This window comes from Homo sapiens, chromosome 10 (genome assembly GCF_000001405.40).
Source record: "Homo sapiens chromosome 10, GRCh38.p14 Primary Assembly".
Taxonomy (NCBI): Eukaryota; Metazoa; Chordata; class Mammalia; order Primates; family Hominidae; genus Homo; species Homo sapiens.
In genome coordinates, this window is record NC_000010.11 from 36,517,264 (window position 1) to 36,526,847 (window position 9,584).

The following is a 9,584-nucleotide window of genomic DNA, read 5'->3' on the forward strand; positions in this document are numbered from 1 at the left end:
GTGCATTTGTGTATTCTCTTAACTAAGTAATCAATAATTCTTAGAGGCAATTTAATACCTAGAAGTCCCATGACCCTTGGAGGTGAACTACTGGGTAGATTCCTGACTAATGGCAAACAACAGAAAAAGACAATGATGCCTCTCGACTCTTTCTTTCTTTTTTTTTGAGATGGAGTCTCGCTCTGTTGCCCAGGCTGGAGTGCAGTGGTGCAATCTCGGCTCACTGCAAGCTCCGCCTCCCAGGTTCAAGCCATTCTCCTGCCTCAGCCTCCCAAGTAGCTGGGACCACAGGCGCCCACCACTAAGCCCAGCTAATTTTTTGTATATTTAGTAGAGACGGGGTTTCACCGTGTTAGCCAGGATGGTCTTGATCTCCTGACCTTGTGATCCACCTGCCTTAGCCTCCCAAAAGTGCTGGGATTACAGGCGTGAGCCACCGCGCCTGGTTAGCTTTTTCATATTTAGTAATGTCCTGCATTCTAATAAGGGACTAAGGAGAATTTTACAAGTTAGAATCTTACTAGGTTACTTCTGGTTTCAACTTCAAAATGAAAAGATGCTTAACATCACTTTTTATTAGAAAATTGAAATGAAATGCAATGAAAAGTTGCAAAAAAAAAACATCAATGAGAAAACACTGCATAATGATTTAAATGGCTAAGAACCACATCAAACTAAAACAAAACATCAAAAAATAAAAACCTGACAATGCCAATTTCTGTCTAGTATGTGGAGCAACAGGAACTCCCATGAGAATGGTAAATGGCACTACCAATGTGGAAGACAGTTTGGCAGTTTCTCGCAATGCTAAACGTAGTCTTACCACATGTTTCAGAAATCACATTCCTAGATATTTACCAAAATGAGATGAAAACTTACGTCCACACATTAACCTATGCACACATATTTATAGCAACTGAAAGCAGCCACGATATATTTTAAAGGAACAAACAGATCAATAAACTGTGGTGTATCCATACAATGAATAGAATGTAGAATGTGGCAGAATAATCTAAATTGATTACAAATATCAGAAACTACCTCACAGAAAGCAGTATGGGAATACTGTCCTGACCTAAATAATTCTGGAAAAAAGAGTGAATTATCTGAAACTAAGGCCAAAAGGAACTGTACATAAGCACTGTAATCTAATTGATGAAGTTGTTCTCCACACGGTTTTGTGTTAATAATTCTGAACTGTTACACATGCTGTAATGATTAACTTTAGGTGTCAAGTCGACTGTGCTAAGGGATACCTAGATAGCTGGTAAAACATTATTTCTGGGTATGTCTGTGAAAGTGTTTCTGGAAGAGATTATCACTTGAATTAGTAGACTGAGAAAACATTTGCCTTTACCAGCTTGGGCAGGTATTATTCAACCTGTGGAGGGTCCACATAGAACAAAAAAGCAGAAGAAGAGTGAATTTGTTTTCTCTTCTTCTGGAGTTGGAATATCCATCTTCTCCTGCCCATGGGCATGAGAGTTCCAGGTTCTTGGGCCTTTGGACTCCAGGACTTACAAGAATTCCCTCCGACCTCCCCACCCACCTTTGTGGTTCTCAGGCCTTTGGTCTTGGACTTGGAGTTACACTGTTGGCTCCCTTAGTTCTCAGTCCTACAAATACAGACTAAAATTATACCACCAGCATTCCTGGTTCCCCAGCCTGCAGACAGCATATTGTAGAATTTCTTAGCCACCATAAGTCTAAGTCAATGTTTATTAAAACATTCCATGTTATGTATCTACATATATATCCTATTGGTTTTGTTTCTCTAGAGCACCTAATACACATACATACTGAAATTTTAAAATTAAACAAATGAATTGTTGATGATTAAAAAAACCATGTTTCTCAAGTGTTGTAGTTGAAAGTTATAGATGAGCAATGGCAGGAAGCTAGAATGCTCCATGGGTAATGAATTAGAGTGGAGATATCAGTATGAACTCGTGTTTAGGTTAATGTAGACATAGATGGTTATATGCAGATATAATGTAAGATATGTGTATATATGCAGGTTAGTACACACACTTCTAACTCTTTGCTATGTCAATAAGAGGGCCCAGAATCAATGACATTGCAGTAGCAAAGAGTACATCTAGCACCTGGATCTTGTTTTCTAATGCCATTCTCAAAAAAAGTAACCAGGTATCCTTGGATAACTGGCTTCTCCTGGGATTGGGTCAGGTAATGCAAAAGCTAAGCCTAGAGCAACTTGTGGTGCTAGAAAATGGAAAGTGCTCAAAAGAAGGAAAATATCACAGTGATGGGAATGTGTCAAACAGATACAGGATCCAACTGAAAGGTCTCTCAATGGCCAAAGCTAAAACAACTTAACTGATATAGTAGTATGGGATTATAACCCAAAGAATAAAATAAATATCCCTGAATCTTTATTGATATAAATAAATTATTGAATACATTTTAAAATCATGGGAAATAAATGAATCTTCAGTGCAGAATAGTGATAAATAATTTTTGCAGATCCCCTGCCTTTAAGGAGGTGAAACAGAACTTTCTACTCCTCATTTGTGGATTGTGCACAATGACTTTTTCCCAAAGATGACAATACTAAAAGAGAAAAGAAAAGACTAATTTTAGAGTGGAGAAACCTCGCGAGCAGTACTTCAGACCAGGGGATTAAGGTTGACATGCACAGTGATAAATCATGTTTGTAGTATGTACTCTTAATGTGAGAAGAATGGCACTTTACCTCTATGGTCTTATTTCCCCAAACCCATAACTTCAGTCTAATCACGAAGGGGATATTTAAAATGCAAACTGAGGATATGCTGCAAAATAATTCATTAGTAATCTTCAGAAATGTCAAGGTCATCAAAAATAGGAAAAGTCTGAGAAACTGTCACAGTCAAGACACCTAAGGAGACATGGCAAGTGTCATGTGGCATTCTGAATGGAATCCCACAACTGAAAACAGACATTAGGGAAAAACTGAGTGAATCTGAATAAAGCATGGACTTGAGTTAATAATGATGTGTCAATATTGGTCCATTAATCATGACAAATGTACCATTCTAATGTGAGCTGTTAATAATAGAGAAAATTGACCGGGCGCAGTGGCTCGTGCCTGTAATCCCAGCACTTCAGGAGGCCACAGCGGGTGGATCACGGCAGGAGATCGAGACCATCCTGGCTAACACGGTGATACCCCATCTCTACTAAAAATACAAAAAATTAGCCGGGTGTGGTGGCGGGCACCTGTAGTCCCAGCTACTCAGGAGGCTGAGGCAGGAAAATGGCATGAACCTAGGAGGCAGAACTTGCAGTGAGCACTGCAGTGGAATTCTGGGATTCCACTGCAATTCCACTGCAATGATGGGAATGTGTCAAACAGATACAGGATCCAACTGAAAGGTCTCTCAATGGCCAAAGCTATTGAGTGCAGTGGAGTGCAGTGCACCACTGCACTCCAGCCTGGGTGACAGAGCGAGACTCTGTCTCAAATAATAATAATAATAGAGAAAACTGAAGCCAGGCACAGTGACTCACACCTGTAATCCCAACACTTTGGGAGGCCAAGGTGGGCAGACCACAAGGTCAAGAGATCGAGCCTATCCTGGCCAACATGGTGAAACCCCATCTCTACTAAAAATACAAAAATTAGCTGGGCATGGTGACATGTGCCTGTGATCCCAGCTACTTGGGAGGCTGAAGCAGGAGTATCGCTTGAACCCAGTAGGCGGAGGTTGCAGTGTACCAAGATCATACCACTGCACTCCAGCCTGGCAACAGAGCGAGACTCTGTCTCAAAAAAACAGTAATAATAGTAATAACAATAATAATAGAGAAAAAGGAGTGTGGGTATTTGTGCAAAATCTCCTTATACTGTTTGACATAATTCTGTAAACTGTTATGAAGTAAAACTGTTCTAAAAGATATAAGTTACTAAAAATAAGTCAAGGTATACCTACTTAATATAACAATATATTTTAAGCTTCTACTATGTAAGAATTTGATGAAAATCCAAAAGAACATATTTTGTAAGCTATTGAACCATAATCAAACAGAAAGAGTAAAGTTTGTTTCAAAGTTACAGCATTGGCACATCATTTGCCCCCCAAACCAGACCATATTCTAAATTTATTAAAGACTGTACTCTTGGTATTCCCATTCCAGTCTCTGGACTGTGAGTAGAAATAAAAGCCAATTCAATGTAATGCATCCTCACAAGTACCTTCCATGAAATAAATAATAGGTGACCACAAGGTTCTATGGATTTTAAGTGTGAACACAGTACACACTTTGATAAGAATTAATAATACTTTTAATAAAACAACATTGATATTCATTCATTAATCAGAGTTTATGGTCTATTATTTGAACTAACAGAATTAATTCAAGTTAGAAGAACTAACCTGAACTGCTGAAGTGAATAAAAACTTTGGAATATTTATGTCCTGATAACCTCGTGCAGAAAAACTTTGTTGGAATGGAACTTTTTTTTTTTTTTTTACAATTTAATATCAATTTAATTTTTAAAAAACTTAATAAAAAATATAACAGAATTGAAACATTTAAGATAAGTACACTCACTACCCACTCCAGTAATTCATTTAAGTCATGCCAACTATAGAATATGAAAAATAAATTCAGAAGTGTAATTACTTTAAAATACACTACTTCCACTTTTGTAAGTATTTTACATTTATGTATATATTCTATAGTGGAAGCAGAAATTCTCTCTAAAAACATTATCTCCTTAAAATCTTGAGGTGCATATTAGAGCCACAGGCAATCTCTGACATATAAAATTGCAGTACAGGCCTTTCAAATTTGGCATTTCACTGGTACAATACAACAACCAAGACATATAATAACTGTACAGTGCCTAGACATTCCAGTAAGAACCATTATTTTCTTTAATGTAGAATGATTAATACATATTCTACAAGGGGCAGTAAGGTTAGTAATTCTATAGGGTATGTCCCGACATAATTTTCAAATTGTGCAATAACACAAACAACTTTGTTAAGGCCATGTTTTATTTGCTGATTAATGGACAAAAGGCAATGTAATTTATTTTCAAGTATTTTCTTGAAAGTCTGTGCTCATAAAAATCATGAAAAGTTGGAAAGACTGTTAAATCACTGAAACTTCAAATATATCTTACACAATCTTGTTTGTACAAAAATACAAGTTAAATATAAACATAAAGCAATCATGGTAATTTTATGCAAATCTGTTTTATGTGATCATCAGTTATATATAAAAGTTTCTCAGTTCTGTTATTTGTGAAAAGATCAATACCAGATTGAATGACTACCTATTGGCAAAGGGCCCTAAAAAGCTTACTTTAGCACTAATCTTTTACATAGTTAAATGCATTTCCTAATTTGAGATCACCTAAACACTGGAAAAGAAAAAAAATGAAAGGGCAGTATGTCCATAAACCAACAAATAATTTGGCTGTAATGTGTCATAAAACACAAACCCCACACATCTGTACAATAAACATTATGTATTACATACACAAAGGTGTGTGTGTGTGTGCATGCACACACACACACACAACACACACCCAGTCATAAAGCCTAATGATGTGCTGCTTCCAGTTCAATATTCAGCTGTGCATTTTTTCTTATTTCATCAAATGAATAGCTTTTTGTCACCTTGCCATTCTTGAAGACAGTATGGAGAAGATCCTGACCATATTCCTCAAGGTCTCCTTTTCCTTCTTCCAGTGTAACAAAATTCCCTGCTGGCGTCCTATGTAAAGATAATCGGCCCTTTTTGGACCTTTTGTTGGGATCAGCAACCGGGTCCTTGAAGACGTTAATCCCAAGGCCATTAGTTACAACATAGCTACACTTGAAGGAACAATTCAAGAGATCTCTTGTTAACTTCTGTAGCAAACCTCCACCAGAACCGAAGGCAATATTTTCAATACTCCACATTTTTTGTTTCATGCCTTCTACAATCTCTTGTAAGGTATTAATATCTACTCCATCCCCTTGAATAACTCTAAGATAAGGTGGCAGCAACTTGTAACCCTTTGAGTTCTCAGTAACAGGAAACTTCTTACCTAAAATCTCCAAAACCTTTAACACAGTGTCAAGAGGGTTTCCAGAATCAGGTCTGATTATTAGTGGTGCCTGTGTACTTCTCGATACTATTAAATGTCTTAGATCTTCACCCCATATTTTCTCACACGCATTATAAATGTCATAGCTATTGCTGACCACAGATACAGGCACTGATGAAAACTGTGTTACAATATGTTCAAAAGCATCTTTTTCATGGTCTTTCCCCCAAGCTGTTATGGTACTGTGTTCTGCTGCTGGAACAGAATAGCCTGGAACAGGATCTTTCGTTCCATAATATTTTTTATTTAGAGCAAGTCCTGCTACTGTATCTGTTCCTTTGAAGTTAACCAAATGAGCAGATGCTCCTATGCCAGCAGTCTCTTGGGAAGAGACTCCTCTGTAGCCAAAATCATGTAACTTGTATTCCAGACCATCTAAGTTACCAGAAGTTTCTAACAAATATTTGGCCAATATTTTCTTCTGCTCTCTAGAATTTGTGGCCACTGTGATTGGATACCAGGACTGAACAAGAATAGTCTCAATCCAATTTGTAAGCCAGTAACACTCTGGATCTGTGTTTTCCACCGTGAAGAGAACATTTCCTCTGGGAATGACAAAGCCTTCAGGAACAGCTTTTATTTCTATTGGAAGATGCCCATCATATTTCTCAAGAATGTAGTTCCATCCTTTTTCATTAACGACATCATCTTGGAAATGTTCTTTGTAGACATCTTTGGCTTCCTGGATTTTCTCTTTGGTTACTACTTTACCTTTTAAGTACTTATTAAGAATGTACTGCAACCCATAAAATACTGTTTCCTCATATTTCACCTTCCTTAATTTGGAGTTTTCTGTCTTCTTTTCACGGCATTCAAAGTAGGAATAAACTTTGCTTGTGTTGGGTGGATATTGTTTATAGTGAGTAACCTGCCCAGCCAGGGGCGTGCGCGCCGGGCTGGCCCAGCAGGGAAAGCCCCGCTCACTCTCCACTGCGGGCCCCTGGGGCCGTTACCTAACTGGTCCCAGCTCCAGGCCAAGAGGCCGCGCTTCAGGGAAGGGCATGCGCTCGCCGGCGACGCCCAAGCCCCGAGCCCCGAGCACCGGAGCCCGGGAGTCCGCTGGGGCCCGCCAGGAATGGAACTTTTAAAAGACCTCTTAATAAGTAAATATTCCAAAGCAGCTAATAAATAAATGATCTCTTCTGCTCTTGGAATGGATATTTGGTCACAAATAATAACAGACATGATTAGAATGAAAACATCTGATTTTATGTGCATTTGATAATGTGATTCCAGGGTTGAAATTCTGAGAGAATGATATTTTATGATTTTACAGGTATATGTGTTGTTCTTTCTTTGTTCTCTCTCATTCTTTCCTTCTTTTCTGTGTATCATATCCCTAGAGATCCCAGTTCCCAGCAGGTGGTGATCATATTGAGCTGATAGTCCTGTATCTTAGTAATGGAGTTTTAATCATATTATATGTTTTGGTGGCAGTCACTGCAGGCTGCAGAGTTGATACTGTTCTCAAACTTTGTCTATTTAAGTTGCTAAGTTAGTAGCCACTTTGTGGTTCAGTGTCTGACAATTTCAACTAATCAATCTTTGATGGAACTTCAGATCAAAAAATGACAAAGATAAATCAAGGCATGTGAATTCCCCCCCGCCAACCCCGCCATATCTTAGCCCCCTTACTAGGGAATGGCAAATATGTTTGGATAAGATAATACCCTGGAGGGTCTACTGCCTGCAATAGCTATTTTCAGAAAATGATTCCCGGCTGAACTCTGTTGTCTGACACTCACACTATTCTGAGCCTTTCATTCACCCCAACCCCGCTCACTCTGTCTCTGGTTACTCCCAGTGAGCCAGTGCTTCCATTTTACCTCAGTCATGCCGCCATGAAAACTGCTATTTTCTTTTGGTTGTGCCAGCATTCATGCCTTCTATTGCCCAATGAGGATACATTAGGAGAAAGAGGAGTGAGGAGAGGATTTGAGCACCAATGATGTGTATCTTCATCATATGTTATTGGTACTCTTATTAACCTCTACTTTGTAAAAACTTTGATTTGAAAAAGTTAAGTAACTTACCCGAAGTGAAAAACTTTTGTCTATTTTTTTCATATCATGGTAAATATAGACTGATTTCATTGCATCTTTTACTGCTCAGGGATGTCACCTATGAACATTTCAACAAATATTTTTTTGCACCTCCAACATACTGGTTATCATTTCAGGCGCTGTGCAGATTGGAAACAAAAAAAGCAAAAATCTCTACACTTCTTGACCTCATTCTACTAAATCCAACAAGCAAAATTATATTAAAAGAAAATGCAAAAAGAATCCCAAGTCTTCATTTTTATGTTTCATATTTAGAAAAACCAATGATAAGGAAACAAGTCAAGGATAACTATTGGGTTTCTGGCTTGAGCAACTGGTTAGAAAATGATACAATATTCTAAAGGGAAGGAAGTGAAGAGCTCATTCTTTTTCAAAATTTCTGATTTTGGTTCCTCAACTCAATTTTAATGTACTTGGCAAGATTAGGTAAAATGCTCCTTTGTATTTCAACAATTGGATCTGCATTGAGATGAATCAGATTAATACGTGATCCTGACTTCACAAGTCCAGATCTTTTTTATAGAAGATCTGTGCTTGTTTTATTTAAATATTGTTTTTTAAAATGTTATTGTTTCTAACAATGGTTCTATTTATTTTGTGGAAAAAATACACATAAAATGATTTGATTTCCAACATCCATCTCTGAAATTCTCTGTATAGTTGATCTCATTCTGACCCTAAGCTGATATTTGCAGCTGCATCTCCACATATATTTTAATTCTCAAACCAAATATAACTTCCTAGAGTTATTGGCTGTACAACCTGCCAGGAAGCAAAAGAAAAGAGAAGTTGAGCAGGGGGAACTAGTCCTATGAGATTATTGACTCCAGATGTTCCAATTACTCCTTTTGGGGACTTTATTGACTTAAGTTATACAAATCCTCCTCTATAAATCCTTACTCAGTCATGTTTGGCAAAGACTGCATTCTGTTTCTCCCAAAACACCTTTATAAACTCATAGTAGAGTTCACACCTAATAGAGGAAGAAGCAAAAATATCATGGTCACATTAAATCTTATGGAGTTTTAAAAAGACATAGTTAACTGATTTAATTTTTGTCTACTGAGAGTTGAGGTATGTCAATACAGCATAGCATTCTAAGGCATTTCATGTTTTTTTATTTTTTATTTTTTTCATAGAGCAGTAAGCCATTCTGCAAATTAGATGTGATTGGAATGATGACTTCTAATTATGTTTCCTACTTAAAGGGTAAAATATTTACCCTTTATCTCATAGTCATAGCCTCCTTGATACTCTCCTTGATTAAATTTTATTATAAACTTTAAAAACAGGACCTGCCCATTTTAAATAATTATCAGTACATTTATTTTAAATCAAATGGCTCGGCTACATCAACCCTGTATATCTGTCATGTGAAATTAAATATGGAGCAATAGTGTCTTAATTCTACCTTTTTG

At 37.4% G+C, this 9,584-nt stretch overlaps 1 pseudogene; it reads right to left on the bottom strand.

Moving 5' to 3' along the window:
• On the bottom strand, positions 4,473-6,973 carry NAMPTP1 (nicotinamide phosphoribosyltransferase pseudogene 1; annotated as a pseudogene).